Source organism: Homo sapiens, chromosome 12, assembly GCF_000001405.40.
Source record: "Homo sapiens chromosome 12, GRCh38.p14 Primary Assembly".
Classification (NCBI taxonomy): domain Eukaryota; kingdom Metazoa; phylum Chordata; class Mammalia; order Primates; family Hominidae; genus Homo; species Homo sapiens.
Window position 1 is genome coordinate 71,620,653 of NC_000012.12, and position 18,298 is coordinate 71,638,950.

General features: G+C 34.1%; 1 protein-coding gene across 2 annotated transcripts in view; it reads right to left on the reverse strand.

Annotated features, from left to right (window-relative positions):
* ZFC3H1 (zinc finger C3H1-type containing) overlaps positions 1 to 18,298 on the reverse strand; it is a 54,250-nt gene that overhangs the window by 11,054 nt on the left and 24,898 nt on the right. For both annotated transcript variants that reach the window (NM_144982.5, XM_047428485.1), the window contains exons 7-24: positions 17,766 to 17,863; positions 16,198 to 16,407; positions 15,838 to 16,002; positions 14,791 to 14,928; positions 14,052 to 14,173; positions 13,503 to 13,652; positions 12,612 to 12,786; positions 12,234 to 12,365; positions 11,320 to 11,862; positions 11,126 to 11,235; positions 10,171 to 10,302; positions 9,948 to 10,069; positions 8,957 to 9,058; positions 8,266 to 8,385; positions 7,099 to 7,282; positions 5,608 to 5,794; positions 3,452 to 3,640; positions 2,708 to 2,945 (exon numbers count right to left, since the gene is read on the reverse strand). In NM_144982.5, coding sequence (NP_659419.3) covers positions 2,708 to 2,945; positions 3,452 to 3,640; positions 5,608 to 5,794; positions 7,099 to 7,282; positions 8,266 to 8,385; positions 8,957 to 9,058; positions 9,948 to 10,069; positions 10,171 to 10,302; positions 11,126 to 11,235; positions 11,320 to 11,862; positions 12,234 to 12,365; positions 12,612 to 12,786; positions 13,503 to 13,652; positions 14,052 to 14,173; positions 14,791 to 14,928; positions 15,838 to 16,002; positions 16,198 to 16,407; positions 17,766 to 17,863 — 3,117 coding nt within the window. The remainder of the gene's footprint in view (positions 1 to 2,707; positions 2,946 to 3,451; positions 3,641 to 5,607; positions 5,795 to 7,098; positions 7,283 to 8,265; positions 8,386 to 8,956; positions 9,059 to 9,947; positions 10,070 to 10,170; positions 10,303 to 11,125; positions 11,236 to 11,319; positions 11,863 to 12,233; positions 12,366 to 12,611; positions 12,787 to 13,502; positions 13,653 to 14,051; positions 14,174 to 14,790; positions 14,929 to 15,837; positions 16,003 to 16,197; positions 16,408 to 17,765; positions 17,864 to 18,298) is intronic.

Here is an 18,298-nt window from a genome sequence, read left to right on the forward strand (position 1 = left end):
ACAGAATAAATTATCTTTTCATCTTTCCCTGACCACTGCAAAGGAGGTCTTGCTCTGCTGCCCCACAGCCATTTGAATGTCTCTCCAAACTAGATCCTTTCCTTACTCCATCAAAACACACTTTTCCCCTTGTAAAGAGTTCTTTCTTGATCTTTTTGCCACTTATTAAACGGTACAATGTTTTACTTTGCCCAGCTGTGACCATTTCCTCCTTACCCAATGGTACCACAGCTTCCCAGATCTGTGGAGTTTAAAAGTGAATGCAATCACTTTGAAACTGTCTTCTTGAAGTTCATTCATAAGGACTCATATCTAACCAAACATAAAAGCTCACCTCTACCTTCATTTTATTTAACATTTGACAGTGTTCTTTCCCTTCTTTTTAATTTCTTCTTGCCTCTGCTTCCAATAGATTGTTTAAATTTCCTCTTAGTCCCATTTTAATGACTCTACTCTCCCTTTTACTCCTTACTGTTATGCTCTTAAATCTCATTTCCTCAGAAAAAATATCTCATAGCCTCAACTACTGCATAATTTACTTCAAAAGCACATTATAAAAACTGTAAAGCACCCTGTAACACAGTAACTTCTATGTGAATAACACTCAAATCCACTTATGTATTGATAATTGTCCAATTAAGGTCCACTTCCTTTTCTTTTTTTTTTTTTGAAATGGAGTCTTGCTCTGTTGCCCAGGCTGGAGTGCAGTGGCACGACCTCGGCTCACTGCAACCTCTGCCTCCTGGGTTCAGGCAATTATCCTGCCTCAGCCTCCCGAGTAGTTGGGATTACAGGCACACACCACCATGCCCGACTAGTTTTTGTATTTTTAGTAGAGACGGGGTTTCACCACGTTGGCCAGGCTGGTCTCAAACTCCTGACCTCAAGTGATCCACATGCCTCAGCAGATTATCAAGTGCTGGGATTACAGATGTGAGGCACCACGCACGGCCAAGGTCCACTTCCTTATTTCCTACCGCCAACAATCATTTCCACTTGAATGACCAATTACAATCACAAATACTACTCCTACCATCAAAATCAGTCTTCCCAACTTACCAGTTTTCTATTAATGACACTTTCCTTTTCCCAGTCTCAAAACCCTGAAATCTTTGTTTACTCCTCCTCCTCTTCCCTGACATTTAATCTTCAACCCCCCCGCCTCACCCCCATGTATTTCCATGTGATAACTTAAAATATCTCTAATATCCTCCTTACCAGAATACTTTTCTTGTACTTCAGTTACTGCCATCAGCTTCTGGTTGGTTTTCCTACCATTGGTATAATTTCTCTTCAAGCACATTCTCTTTCTTAAAGAACCTCTACTGCCATCCAGTCTACCACATTTTCAAGATTCTTGACAATCAAGTATCATTCTACTTATCAAGCTTAATCACTACTATTGTCCAGCACAGAATTCTCAGTCTGATAAGACCTATCCCTTTTCCCAATCTCACTTCAAATCCATTGCATAAATTCCCTTCTACCTGTTGCTTTTTGTTTATTTAACTCCCCTAACAGTAATGTCCTTTCTTTTCTCTCCTTCCTTCACAGGGTATTTAATAAGCACTTAATAATTTGCCAGACATCCTTACAGGCCCTTAGGAGTAAAATGATAAATAAGACAAGGGTCCACCCCATCTCTGATGAGACCCACTTTGTCATACTGATAGCCATGCTTCGACATCTAGCTCCAGGTCCCCATTCTTCTATGAAGACTTCCTTGATCATGCCAATCTATAATAATCTCTTCCCTTTGGGTTCATGGCCTGTATCAAATAATTCTATAAATCACAGATCCTAGTCTCTTTTTTTTTTCTTTTTTTTAGAGACTGAGTCTCACTCTGTTATCCAGGCTGAAGTACAATGGCATGATCTCAGCTCACTGTAACCTTCGCCTCCTGGGCTCAAGCGATTCTCATGCCTCAGCCTCCCGAGTAGCTGGGAATACAGGCGTGAATCACCACGCCCGGCTAAATTTTGTATTTTTAGTAGAGATAGGGATTCATCATGTTGGCCAGACTGGTCTCGAACTCCTGACCTCAGGCAATCCGCGCACCTTGGCCTCCTTGGCTGGGATTACAGGCGTGAGCCACTGTGCCCGGCCCTAGTCTCTTTTACGTAGCATACAATTTAGACTATATACTAACACACAGTTATATGGCCTTGTATGTTTAATAATTATGACAAATGTATAGATTTTATCTTCTGACTAGGCTATATACTTCCTTCAGGAAGAGGCTTTATATCTTGTAATGTGTTCCACAATAGTCGTATCATTTAATATAGAGAAGCAACCAAACTCACTGACTGATGGAGAAAATATTAATTGGTTGAAAAGATAGAAATCTTTAAACTTCCACCTTAATGGACTGCTAAAAAAAAAAAAAAGTACCTAGTTCTCTGATTTAATCAATTCATCAAACTTACATAATTTATTTTCTCTACGCATTTAACAGATATCCTTTGCCACAATCAGAAAGATAAACAATGTAATATCGTGCAGTTATTGGTTTTCAAAGATGCCAGTGTCCATCTTCTCTGATTCAAGACTTAATTTGCCTAATAAATTGTGAAACTAAAACTTGCAATATAGAGATATAAATTTGTTCCACTTAATTACAGAGAATCACAATAATGGGTAGTTAATGTTCTAAACACTGATGTTATAACAGTTGATATTACAATTTATAAACTTTATACTTACCTTCAAAAACTGCTAACAACATGTCAGGATTAGTCTTTACATCTTGAACAGCTTGCCATGGCATTACAAATGATTCAGTGTTAACAATTCTTGAAGGATTATCATTAGATGGATCATAAAATTTTGAAGGGAGAATGTTGAATTCAATAAGATGTATGTAGGCCAACCATGCCAAACATCGATCACTGGTTTTAAGGTATTCAGCTACTATTCCATCATTAGCAGATTTCAATGCATTCTAGGCAAAATTTAAAATTTTTTGATAAAAAAATTAGAGATGTCAGTACCAGATTAACATAATTTTTACTATGCTAAAGTTTATGAAATAATAAAAAGGTCACATTTATTTGTACATTTTAAGTGTCCTGATACTTAAAATCTAATAAGACAAAGACAAAACAGTAAAAAGAAAAAAAATCTTTTAAACCACACCCATATAGATTATTTTCATCAGACTGATTTTTTTCCTTTATGGCTTAAATCTTGAAGTTTACCTGTGGATACTTAACATAAAATATTTTCATTGAAAACTTATAAAAACTCTAAAGATATTACACCCATCAGGCAAATGAGGAAATAAAGTCATAAACTTACCCAATGTCACATGACTTACTAGTAAGTGGAAAAACAAGGATTCAAATCCAAATCTTGTGCTTTCAACCATTAAATAATGCTATGGATAACGGTGTAGACCTTTTAAACTTTTTCTGCAAAATGCAATTAAATGCTGTACCAAGTGCTTACCTGTAAAATTGCCAGTGCACTTTGGCATCTTCCAGTAAATATGTGCAGCTGAACTCTAAACAAAAGAGCCTCTAAAAGCTGAAAGGACAAAATATTGGATGTTTCCTGCTTGGCTGCTCCCATCAGAAACTCCAACATTCTCTCACATACGTAATCCTTTTCTTCAAAGGTACTTTCTAGGTGTAGAAACTGCCCAAAGGGCCTTTATATTATTAATGTTGCCTTTCAGGAATAAACCAAAACTACAGACTTTTCACATTTCATTAAGAAACCATCTCATAGTAAATCTTCAACTTCTGCAAAAAGGATTACTGTAAAAATGTATAACTCCATCTTCTAGTACTACAACCTAGACTCCCTCTTCTATCACATATCGAAAAGTGGAATCAGATGAAAACTAAAACAATACAGATATACTCTTAGAGATATCACTGAAGCAATTTCATTTCTCTTTTCCCTGACTTAAAAGGTAAATCGCAGCAAGATCATGATGAATATCCAAAAGTACACATTTATTATCACATACAATTTGTGTTGCTTAGGTGTGTGACTGTATAAAAGTTTTGAGAATAGATTTGTATTAGAAATGTGCTGGACGCGATGGCTCATGCCTGTAATCCCAGCACTTAGGGAGGCCAAGGTGGGTGGATCACGTGAGTTTGAGACCAGCCTGGCCAATATGGTGAAACCCCATCTGTACTAAAAATACAAAATTTAGCCAGGCACGGTGGTGCATGCCTGTAGTCCCAGCTACTTGGGAGGCTGAGGCAGGAGGACCGCTTCAACCCAGGAGACGGAGGTTGCAGTGAGCCAACATCACACCATTGCACTCCAGCCTGGGTGACAGAGCGAGACTCCGTCTCAAAAAAGATTTAAAAAGAAAGAAAGGAAATGCATGACAAAACACATTAAAGACCAAGCAATTTCAAAGAAAAATATTACATCTTTTGAATATTCCACACCCTATAAAATCTTGTAGTGATAACAGCATTCACTTAGGTACAATGCTCTAGGTTAAAAAAAAATCAAGCATGCTTTACTATCCAAATCTGTTCACTACCTGAGTTCAAAGAGTAAGAAATAGAGTAGCAAGTTTATTAAGCGGTATCATGTTATCCAAATCTATTTGGTTCACAACTTCAGTTGGTAAGTAAATGACAGATTTGACAGCAATAGATTTATTTAAAAATTTATCTGAAACTAATGGCTCCCAAGTTCAGGTGATAAAAGTTCAGGTGAATATTTATTTTATTTCTCAAGTGGATCAATTATAATTTTAAGTCTGGGTAAAAAACATCCCATTCTTGGCTGGGCATGGTGGCTCACATCTATAGTCCCAGCACTTCAGGAGGCCCAGGCAGGAGGATTGCATGAGCCCAAGAGTTCAAGACCAACCTGGGCAACAGAGCAAAAACCCATCTCTACAAAAAATCTAAAAACTATCCAGGCATGGTAGCACGCATGTGTGGCCCCAGCTTTTCAGGAGGCTGAGTCCAGGAGGACTTGGGTCCAGGAGGTAGAGGCTGCAGTGAGTCACGACTGCACTACTGCACTCCAGCCTGGGTGACATAGAGAGACCCTGCCTCAAAAACTGACAGCCAAAAAAACCATCTCATTCTCTTGGAGAAAGAGGAAGAGGCCATTTTTTCTCAATCAAATGTTTTTAGCTTGGCAATTTTAGATATTAGTGTGAATTACAGATTGGGATTATTTCTATAAGCAATGGAAACAAATAATAAAAAGACAAAAATGTTTCCTGGCAGTCATTATAATTTTATAGAGGCAATTTAAGATAAATTTAAAAGAAACAATTTTTTCAGGTGTTTTGCAAAAGCTACACTTAACTTTGCCCAAACTAAAACTGTGTAAAAATAGGTAAGTGTGAAATTTTTAACAATTTTACATTTTTTCTTTACCAATAAAGTTAACAACAACAAAAAAATCACCTCTTCACTAAATATTTTCTTCTTGCTTAGTCTAAATTCTGATCCAGAAGTGGCTTTGTGGTTACTAGAAACTGAAAGTAAGGTTATTATGTCTATATTCAGATAAAGCATATGCTCTATTAAGCTACTTATCAATTTTTAAGATGATCCAAATAATTATACACACACACACACACACACACACACACGTACGTTATCTTTTCTACTCACAGTCCAAAAGCTTTGATAATCTGGAGCATATTCAACAGCTGTTTCACACATTTCCTGCACCTCGTCCTTGGTTCCTCTTTTTGAGAACAATCTGAGGTAATGGCACCAAATTTCTGGATTGTCTTTGTTATTTTCCAATGCTCGCGCCAGAACATTTAAAGCAGAATCCAAGGATTCTGAGCACTCCCTGTATATATAAAAGAAAAGGTGGAAGTGCTTTTTAGAACCTGCTTGAAAATTTAAATAGGGCTAATCCAATGAGTCAATTTTAAAATTCCATTTTCTACTAGAATTTACCAAGAAGTCAGGATCACTTATGAAAAGGGGTACTAGATTTCAGATTTTAAATCACATGCCTAAAAGTTTCTGATTTTCCACAGACCCAACAATTTTTTTAAGTGAATGTTCAGTAAGCATTTACCACAGATAAAAGTACAGTGTTATAAAACCACTAAGATTATCAACTTCAAATGTGCTTTATGTCCATATTCAGCAATACCTTTTATGATTTACACCATTTGGGAATGCGAAAAGTTAAACAACTCTCTCTCAAGGCCAGCTACTGCAAGTACAAAATATCAAAGCTTTCAGTATAATAGTTCTTTTCAACGGTCAAGGGCTTGCTATCTCTTGGAGAAGATAATTCTTTCTCATGATCCTATTCATAAAATAATGTATGGTTCTTTTGGCCTTCACTCAGTAAATGAGTCAGAAAAGAAAACACTGTAACTTATCCCATTAACATGGAAATGACACACAGGAAAGTTAAATAAGCAACACATCCAGGCATGTGTGGGTTTATTAGCACTCTGCAGCACTGCCTTATTTAAAAGCTTTAAGATAGTCAAATATTTCAAAGAAACGTGTAAAAAAAAAAAACCCTTGAATTATTGTAACTATAAAGTTATAATTATGAAAAGATTATTCTTGGCTTATTTCTACTACCAAGAAGTTAGAAGATGCCATTTGCAATACAAACTATTGGTTGTATAAGTTATTACCATTTACCTTATTTAAATACATATAATTTAATATGACAGAGACAGAAAGAAAATTCACCATAATTTGGAAGTTCTCAGATAAGCTTTAAATATCCATTACAAATTAACAAAATTTAACCTGTTCCACCATTATTTTATCATAATTTTATTAACAAACTATGACTACTATGATTTTTTTAAAAAACAATCAACCATTCCACTAGTCAGAATTTACTGTTTTAACTAATCCTACTTTGAAATAAGAGCCTACTGGAGTAAAAAACTTTAGTATAATTTATTACCCATACACTGAGCCATGCACACAAACTCAAGATCTAATCTTAAACTTGTCTAATAGCTTTTAAACAATAAAATGCTTTTGGCTTTGTCAAAAAACAAAGACTCCATTGATACTAGGAAAGAAACCTGACTGATTACCATAGGTAAAAAAACCTCAAACATAAAAATATAAATGTGCAACTGTTTACACAAAGATTTGAAGTTGACCTACCCCTCATTTTGATTCAAGTACTTGTACGCAAGCTTGAGCCAAAGTTGTACATGAGAAGGATTTTCAAGCACACTTGCTTCTAAATTAGCGATGTCATCAGTCTCATTTGTAAAGTATCTGACATCATCTGGAGTGACAACTGTATCCAGAGCTGGAACATTTATTTGGTTCTCTGGCTGGAAAGCTATTTAAAAAAAAAGTATTATTAGCTTCACATTTTCTTTAGTCCACAGATGCAAGAAAAAGAAAACAATTGGTCTCATCTTTAAAGTAACTTAAAAACCTAAAGATTCTAATGACATGTACTAGCTCACAGCTTTAAGGTAGAGCTATGACATAATTTATCACCCAAACCAGGACCCTTCTGAGTGGAAAGAGGTGCTACTAAAAATTACACCAGAACAAAAGGAGTAATTAGAACTCTGCTATTTTAAGGCTAAGTGACATTACCTTTTCAGTCCACTTAACAGTAACTATGATTCAACTGCTTTTTCATTATTATCAAATGAATTCACATTTGTTAAACTGCAAATTATAATTAAGAAATTAAAAGTCATAATTTATAAAGATTATTCTACTATATCTAAACTAGAAAAACAGTGTTACGTTAGTGTAAATAAGTACATAATAGCATACATCTCTTGGATACTTGCTAATTCACAAATAATGCAAACTTGAAATTAGAAAGTAAAATGTGCCTAACATACAGGCACTCATTCATACATTATTTTGTTCATTAGTTCATTCATCATTTGTTCATTCTCATCTTTTGAGCCTTCTGCATGTCAGAAAACATATTCAAAGATGAAGTAAAATAGAACACCTGCCCTTAAGGAGGACACAGGCTAGGCAGTGGTTCTCAAACGGGAGCTACCTTCCCCACCAACTAATGTATGTTTGGAAATATCTGAAGCAGTCATAATTATTAACTAAGCAGTGCTCCTTGCATTTACTGGAGAGGAGCCATGAACACAAATATCCCGCAATTTCAGAGGCAATCCTGCACAGTGAATTAACTGTATTGTCTAAAAACCCAATGGCATCGTTTTTAAAAAAAATTTTTTTTTAACCAGGCAGGCTGATACACCAAAGGATTAGCAAAGTGTTAAATAAAGATGGAACACCACAATTTAATAATTCTGGATCTTAAATTACATAACTTCTTACCATACTTAATTGGTCCTGTAGACTGTTCCTCATCACTACTGAAGCTATTATCTGAAATAGGTTTTCTCCAAAACTTTGGCTTCCACTTTCTTTTATCTTTGTAGGTTGTAAATGGAGGAGCTAAAGTAGATAGGAGAAGATTGTTAATTGATATAACTAGTTTTTTTTTTAACATTTTGAAGGATACTCAAATAATATTTGAGAAGAACTACATTCACTCCATCTTAGAAATGATACGTATTTTTTTTTTTTTTTTGAGATGGAAGTCTCACTCTGTCACCCAGGCTGGAGTGCAGTGAGTGCAGTGGCGCGATCTCAGCTCACTGCAACCTCCGCCTCTCGGGTTCAAGTGATTTTCCTGCCTCAGCCTCCCAAGTAGCTGAGGCTGCAGGCACACGCCACCACCACCCGGCTAATTTTTCTATTTTTAGTAGAGACGGGGTTTCACCATGTTGGCCAGGCTGGTCTCGAACTCCTAACCTCAAGTGATCAGCCCACCTCAGCCTCCCAAAGTGCTGGGATTACAGGCGTGAGCCAGCGCACCCAGCCTGGAATGATATGTATTACATTAAGAACATAATACCAACAAAATTTCTGTCATACAGAAACTAAAAAGTCCTTTTCAGAAAGAGATACAGTACACACACACACACACACACACACACACACACACACTTATATATGTACTTACTATGACCTTTACTTTCATTGATATTGCTAACAAGGAGAACAGCCATCTGGTCCATTGACATTCGATCTTTGTTTACTCCAAAAAGTTTCTCAACATATTTTTCTGAAATAAGAGCAATGCAATCTTCATGATAAATATCAATTACAGAGACTAGGATAATTAAAATGTATGACGTGAACTAGTTTAAGAATTAAAGGCGATTATATGGTACTAGTCAATAACACCTATGGCATTTGAAAGGGCAAAGCCTGTATTATCTTAACTACTATGGCAAATCCTACCACATCATATACCCCATTTGGGATTAAAAAAAAAAAAAAGTAGTTCCTAAAATGAACTAAGTAATTAAGTTAAAGTCCCAAATTGGGAGCGATAAAATAGATTCAGTGACATTACAATCACTCTGGGCTGTGATAACACCAAATTTAGTAATTATTATTTTCTTTACTTCCAAAAGATTTGTAGCTTGAGGTTTATTACTTGGCACCAAATCTGAGAAAAAGCTTAATAATATTTGCTCACAAGTGTATCAAGTCTTATTTCATTATAGAATTGGAAACAACAGCCATCGTAATTTCCAGCCTTCCTCTATTTTTTGAAAACAATAAGTAAAAATAGGCTCCTATGTTAAAATCAATAGTAAAGTTTCTATACAAATAGCTTAATATTTTCTTTTAAATAAATGGAACTAAATATTTAAATGAGCTCTGTCCAAAGAACTTTCTGAAATGTTGGAAATGTCTTAAATCTGTGCTGTCCTACTGGCATGCACTTGCCACATGTGGCCATTGGGTACTTGAAATGTGGCTAGTGTAACAGAGGAAGTAAATTTTTACCGTAATTATACTGGATACAGCAAATCTAGATAAAGTATTATGGGTAAATACACTGAATTATAGTAAGTATTTTACAATGTCAACAACTAATATAGAATTTTTAAGTTGCCTAAATTCAATTTTCATTTGGGAGAGAATAGGAAGTCTTTAAAAACCTGCTGAAGCAGTAATTTCTTCATTAGTACTTGTCTCTGCACAACCAATCAAAGACAGATTATATGACAGAATGTCCTGGAATAACTGTTTTCGGCTAAGTGTATAGTCTTGTATATGCTGCCTAAGATAAAAAAAAACACAGAAAAGATAATCATGTACATATCAAAGTTAAGCAAACAAGACCATTTTTCAAATTACAAAATGTTCACAAAAACTACTCACCATTGACAATCATCATCATTACATGTTCCTGTTAAATCAAAACGGCAGAAACACTGATCCGGTTCAATCATATTACTGTATGATACTGAGCTCAGGGGAAGTTTTTCCTTGGTTCGATAATATGGACTAAATCTAAGGTGAAGAGAGTGAACAGGTATATTATGCCCAACAAACATTCCTCAGAAAACTAAGAAAACTTTAGTTTTTCTTTCTCAAGTTAAAATTTCCATGCTTACTATTTATGAGCTATTTATCTAATTAAATTAATGCCAAAATTAATTCGAGAAAAGACCTAGAATATCAAGGGATAGAAACAAGTTGCTTTTATACCAAGAACATAAAATAGTTTAAACAGAAAAAAAACCTTGTATTCTAAAAGTAGTTTCTCACCACATAATAAAATACTATATAATACCGGTATTTCTTACACACATTACCAGCCAAGACAAGAAAATCTGGAAAAAGTCTATATTACCTGGAAGGTGCTTTACAATTTTAAGATAAAAACATGCAACCCTTTAACATTCTCACAACTTTTAAAAGTCTAAATGGGGGACCCACAAAGTTAATCATATGAAAATGTCTAAATAAATTTTATGAAGGCTGGCCAATGCACTTCTTAGACTGAATAACAGTAAAATTAAAAATCAAAAATTAAAAAAAACCTCTAAGATTCCAATTATTTTTCCTAAAATTCCTAACAAACAGAAATCCAAAATTCTCCACACTTCTACCAATAGCCAGAAACTGGAATTTGATACGAACTGATAAATCCAAGAGTGTGGTTTGAGCCCAACGGCAGGACACTTAATTTTTATGTTCCTTAAAAGGGTAAGTCTGGTTATCAATAGCAATGATTCAATTGCTTTTTCATTATCATCAAATATTCAAGATAAAATATTAAAAACCAAACAGAAATCCTGAAATTCAAGCTTATTGAATCTTTCTTTTATACCTGTAGGACTTAAAAACTAGAAGAGGACTATGGTAGGGTCTAAAAGGACATGGCTTCACTTCCATTGTTTTACTTTGTGCTGTGACAAAATCCACATCTACAGAAATCTCCTGCAAAAGAAAATAATAATTCTGTAAGGCAAATAAGGCTGGGTGAATTCCAGATTTTAAAGAAAATATGAAATGTTCAGTTACCTGACCATGCAAAACCTTCTCTGTAATGCCTGTGGTGGTTTTTAAAATCAGCTGTTTTAGGCTGTCAGCTTTTGAATACAATTTTTGCAATTCACCAATTTTTAACCCTAGAAAAAGTTCTGGTTTTTCTACAGTATTTTTATTAAGTTTGTTTATGCATTCTTTGTTAGCAGTATCAGTGTGCTTAAGGTTAGGTTTAGTAAAATAATTGGATTCTAAAAAAGATCTTCTTCGCTCTCTGCTTGAACCAGACAAAATTTCATCATCAACATCATTTTCTTCAGTGTCCAGGGTTAATTTATCTTGTGTCAGATCATGAAGTGAGGGTTGAGGTAAAGAAAATTCGGGTTCCTCTTCCACAACTGGAGAGATATTTTGTTGTTCCTTTGCTTTAAGGGCACGGGCTTCTTTTAATTTTTGAATTTTCAGGGCATATTCATATTCTAGCTTTTGTAACCGTCTTTTCTCCATAGCAATTAGTTCTGCTGAATGCTTTCTTGGACTTGATACTGGAGAACTGTCCAGTCTCATCATTTTGTTTGGCTAAGGGAGAAAAATGATACACGTATTTTACATCACTGTGATTTTATAAACAATTTTTGGTAAGATAATTGTGCTATCCCCACCATACAATGCCAACATTATAAAACTAAATCAATATGGAGAATAAAACAGAGTTTAACATAAGTAGCCAAAAGTTTTGCTAGTTAATCTATGACTTATGACAAAAACAAAGTCAAGACAAAATAATAAAGTAGACATCCAAAAATGTGGATGTCATTTAAAAACAAAGCTTTAATCTTAATCTCTTGGAATTTACAGCAAAGAGTTACTTTATATATACATCTTACCCTTAAAACTATCATAAAAACTTTCTGCTTTCCAAAAGTAAAATATTTCTATAAAACCCTCACCCCAAAGCGATCTTGTTCCAGTTTACGTTTTCCTATTTCTTTACTGGCCACTGCCTTTGCCCGAGCAAGCTCTTCTCCATATTTTAGAGTCAAAGCTTTCTTAATTGTAACACGCTGTTGAACTCTGTGAATCTGAAAAATATAGAATAATCCTGAAAATGTAAATGAAAACCTTAAAACAGGAAATTTCTTCTTCTCAAACACCGTGGCTTTTGAGCATTCAACTGAAAATAAAAATATTCCAATATTATTTCTCAACAAGAAACTATAGGTTATGCATATTTTGCTGGCTTTAGTATACAGTGGTTTGTCTTACAGAAAATTTGGCCTATAAAAATGTGTAGTAAACAGGAGACTACAGTATTTTAAAATAATTACTTGTTCCTGAAGCTTCTTCAAAAACATTCTGTTAACATTAAGAATTTTTTCAGTTGCTTGAAGCTGTTCTGTAAGTTTTGTAATCTTTGCTTCAGCATTTCTAACAGATTCTTTCTTCTTAGCTTCTTGTTGCACTAAATTCTTTAAAACAGATTCATCTTTCATCAAGAGAATCCTAAATGAGAAATAACAAAATTCTTGTTAATGTTTCCCTACAAGAGCAGACTGTCAGAATAAAAAAATTTTCAAAGTAATAACACAATTTTTAAAAATGCATCTACGAGACACAGATAAAAATGTAAAGGGATGAATATTTTTATATTCATCACACAGGTATTTAAATTAACATTGCTACACTGATAATAGTAACTATGAGACTGATCTTTTAAAAAAAAAAATTTAAGCCTGAGGTAACGTGAATTACTGTTGAAAACTTGTAGTAAATATTCAACGTTGGGCCAGGCACAGTGGGAATGCATTTCCCTAGTTCAAGCGATTCTCCCGCCTCAGCCTCCCAAGTAGCTGGGATTACAAGGCATGCACCACCATGCCCAGCTAATTTTTTTGTATTTTTAGTAGAGACAGGGTTTCACCGTGTTGGCCAGGCTAGTCTCAAACTCCTGATCTCAAGTGATCCACCCACCTCGGCCTCTCAAATTGCTATGATTATAGGCGTGAGCCACCGCGCCTGGCCGGTATTTTTATTTAAACATTAATTTCATTACTTTATGTAAATGTAGTGTCATTCAACAAAATGACAGACTTCTACATTCTACAAAGTTTAAGTGAGAAAATGTATAATCTTATAGTACGCTTATTAATAACATACACCACAAAAATGTATTTCTCTACCACAGGAACAATTAGATATGTGAAGATAACAAGGCTCACCTATGTTTTTTCAGTTTTGATTCTGCATCTGTAACCTGCTTAGTAACCATTGCTATCCTGCCAATACCATCAATTTCCACATCAGAGTTTGCTGGGGATGATGAACTTGTCTTCAGCTGATCTGATTTAATCAAACGCTGTTTCTCACGGCTAAAATTATCAAAAAGGATATATGCATTACACCCAAGAATAAACTTAAACTATTTTTAAAATGTATTCTATTTCATGCAGTAACAATATTAATCACACCGACTAATAATAAAGATGATGACCAATATGCAAGACCCAAGTCAGCATTCAAAGTTGATAGTGGAGTCCTTCTCTTTGAGTGTTTTCATCTTTTTTCTAAGCTGGTTATGTCCTAGCACATCACTCTATTCAAGTGTATGTATGACCATCCAGCACCATCTTCTGTGTGAGTTATAAAACATTAACTCTGTATCTTGGATAAAACTATCATCACTCATTCCCCAGTGCCAAGAAACTCTATAAGAGAAGTTTTGAAAACATCACATACTTTTAATGTTAATTACATAAAATTACACTTACTTGGCAATCTCTTCCTTTAACAATCTATATTCAATCTTCTTTTCTTCAGGCAAAGCCTCCGGTGTTCGCAGAGGATCATTTTCTTTTTCAGATTTTGGAGGTACTTTCGGTTTTGAAGCTTGCTAAAAAAAAAAAAACATTTGAAGTCAACTAGATCATCAGCTTTCCAAAATTCCATACTAAGATTTATATTTTACATTGCAACCCAGTGTATACTGAATTTATTTAGAAATACCTGAATGTCATCATTTTCTATTCTTTTTTCTAAAACAATGTTGGTTGATAACTACTAAATTGTATACGCCACCAAGTAGTGAAGATCTACAGTCTGAAAATCATTGAATTAAATCACAGCTAAACAACTACTGAAATAGGGAAAAAACGATAAAAGTTGTACTTAGAGAATACATTTTAATAAAAACTGTTTTCTGGTAACACAACACAACTCTAAAACAACAGTCTCCTTACTACACAGAACAATTATCCAACCAATTTTACTATTTTGAAAAAGGAAATACTTAATAGGAAACACAAATAATGGAAACTTTTAATAGTAAAATCAATCTACATTGATACATGCTTCATTATATAAAGTCCTAATAGCACAAATACTTAAAATATTTCCACAAATCAATGTTATTAAAAATCTATAACTTTATGGTTTAATTTTCAGGAAAAAATAAACTTTACTGATCATCAAAAGGTCATCTTTCTTTCCACCTTTAATTATTGCACTTACCTCAGCAGTTCGTCTTGCTTCTTTAATCATGGACTCTAATCCACCAAAAACACTATTTGTTGACTTGGAAGCCTCTCCATCAGATTCACTATCATCTGAATCATTTAGTGTTACAACCACTGATTTATGCTTTGGAAGCTGCAAAGACAATATATTTATTACTCGTGATAACAAAAGGATGTCATTTAACCTTGTTCAATTTCAATCCACAAAAATAATGGGCTCCAAGTAGACAGTCTATGGCTCCTTCTAGGGTTGTATTACATAATCCACTGAGTCGACCAATACTGGTTATATGACTGAGACATAAAATGTTGTATATTCTTTAAGACTTTCTATTCTATAATTACTCTCATTAAAATTTTATTTTCACTAACTTTCTATTATAAAGAACCACAATGCAATTTAAATTAACTCTTTTAAAACCAAAGAAAAATTTTGTTAATTTTACATAATAATTATCAAAATTCTGTACTTTGTGGTTACATATAGAGGGTAAATTGCCAAAACTGGCTTACCTAACAGGAAAGATTTCAACTTGTCTTTGTTCTATTTATTTTACTTTGAAGCCATTACAAAACAAGGTAGAAACAAACTATCATTTCAACCTCCTTAATAAACATCATAAATAATTTCTTCCATCATAGTGTAGTCATTGGTTGGAAAACATACACAAAGTATACAAAGAGATGGGAGAAATAAAAAACATGCAATTTGTTAAAATTTTGACTCCAAAAAGATAGAAAATCTGAATGAGCCCATTTCTATAGAAAAAAAGCTGAAGAAATGTCAGAGGAAAGTACACCACTCTGATGAAAACAATACCTCCCCCAACACACTATCACCAAACTCTTACCAGTTTTCAAGTGAAGGTGTTGCTCTCATTTTATCATTAATAAATTAAAAATAAATTTTAAAAATTTGTATTTATATGTGAATATATGTGTGTATATAAATAAACCAAGGGGTAGAAAACAGGACAGCTAAACTTCATAGAAATTTATCATAACTGTTTGAATAAAAGTAGCATTAAATTTTTGTTTTTACCGAGATCACAGTTCGTGGAAGACGGGGTCCTCTGTGAAACTTTGGATTCTGTATCCTAGGCTGAGACACTGTGTTAATACTGACTATTGATAGATTGCTTCTTGGCACAGGATGTGAATTGTTCAGAACTGGAGGTGAAGGTGGGTCACTATTACTGGATGTTTCCTACATAAGGAAGAGAAAGACATTAAACATTCCTAAATAAAAATAAATTTCTGCCACCTTTAAAAATCTTGAGCATGTTAGAATTATCCCCACTTTGCTGAAAAGCCCAATGATGCCCAAGTAACCAGAAAAAAGTAGGACTACCGTAAAGCTAAGCTCAAGAGCACCACCTAGAGGTTTAGGTACCTAAATTACCTCTGGCTTAAAAGCTCTTTTATTTGCTAGAGATTTAAGTAGTTCTTCTCGAAGCAGCATTTCTTCCTCCTCTTCCTCATCTGCAAAAGGTGGTTTTGGAGGCTGTTCTGGATCTTCAGGTGGGAGAGGTGGTAATGGTGGTAGAGGAGGTAGAGGTTCAAGAGAAACACACAAGCCTTCCACATAAGGCTGGCTCAAAGGTGGCAGAGACTATTTTTTAAAAAAAGAAAGAATTACAACGCAAATTTTATCAACTCAAATGCTTCTCTCTGCAGCAATATTAAACTAGAAAAAAATAAACTTTACATTATTATTTTAGCTGTAAATATAGTAAGCTAAGTATATGTTAACCTCAAAACAAACCAGAAATCAATAGCCAACCACGAAAAAGTGTTATTTTTACAATTTTAAAAAAAATCAACAATATTTGAAACATTTATTAACTTCAAGGAAAATTATAGAAACTTCTCTGTTCCAATTCTTATATCCATTTAGCATTCTAGAAGATATAGATATCAAACTATACAGGGTCCTTCCTTCTAGATGACTACCTGAAAGCAAGTAGAGGTACTGAAACCCAAGACATAATATTTCAGTAAAAAATAAAAATTAGAAACCAAGGGATTCTGTGAATAATAGTCCAGAGTACTTTAATCATTAATTAAGTATCAAGAAGAATCACCACTACTCTCTTAAAATGGCTTCTTAAAGAATATCTATAAAGGAAACTAATTTTACACAAATCCCTAAATTTGGATATGTATTTGCATCAAAGATCTTCCACTATTTCCCTTGGCATTTAGTTCATTTATTCATTCCCAAAAAGAAAACATTACAACGAAGAAAGTGCTGTTTTCTCTCTCACTATCGGCTCTAATATTCCCCTCACCATATATGTTCTAGAAAGACACTAGACGTCTTTCCTGAAACGGAAAAGTTCCCTCTTACACCTACTGAGAGATACTCAATTTGATCTCTAGGTCCTCTCAATCTAAAAATAATGTCAAAACTTTTAATGTGTGATTCCTCTACTTCCTTTTTTTCCTTTTCCTTTTATTGTTTTTATTTTTTTGTTTTATTTTTAGTGGGAGGACTGGAGATGGGGGGGAAAAGAAATTAACTTCATAGAAAATGCTTTTCTTTTGCTGGATTTTCAAGTTAAAAATAACCATTTTTATGAAAAGAGGAGAAAGGAGAGTATTAATTTTTAGAAGCATCCTAATGCATGTAAATTCCAATTCCCTAAAAAAGAGACAGTCCAAAACAGTAGATAACTTCTGTTTTTGAATAAATTTTCTGAGTAGCTACTATCTGAGAGTAAAGTGAAGAAGGAAACATGATAGGTACCGAAAAGTCAACATGAAATTAAAAATTAGCTATGAAAAAAATCTACCAAATGGATAGCTTGCTGGTATAATCAACTGTTTATTCTACGTATTTCATTGCTATTAATTCTTGGTAAGCAATTCTGATTTTTTAAGCCCTCTTCAAACCTAACCATTCGTTTTTAAAAACAAATTAGAAAAGACAAGACAAAATAATTTTCTTAGAAATCAATTCTGACTTACAGAAACCTGAGGTGGTGGAGGCAAAGAAAGAGATGGTGCTGGAGAAAAATACCCCAATGAACATTCAGAGAAAAATGGCGGTTGCACTGGTGAAGGAGCTGTAAAAAAATTTTTTGTTAAGAGTTTAATAACAGAAATACTTCATCAGGAATATATTAAGTTTATGTTATGTTTGAAGAAATACATCTAGGTGGAGTGCAAATTAGATTTTATCAACCTCTGATAAAATCTTTAAACCCCTCATGAGTCCACCTCCAGCCATTTAAAATTGTCATATCATCATAAAGTCAGCCATTCACTTTAAACTAATAATTAGTCCCTCAAAACTCTCACTTTGTTCCACTTTTAACCTAATGATGAGAACAGGGAATAAAGCAGGAAAAGACAGAAACATACTTTAAAAAAACAAACAAAAAAAAACACAAGCATATTTTTTAAGAAATAATGAAACAAAAAATTCCCTTAAATTCTGCCAAAGTGCCCTAGCCAAAGGAAAACAATGATGTGGTGACTTCATTATTCCCTTCTTGTGG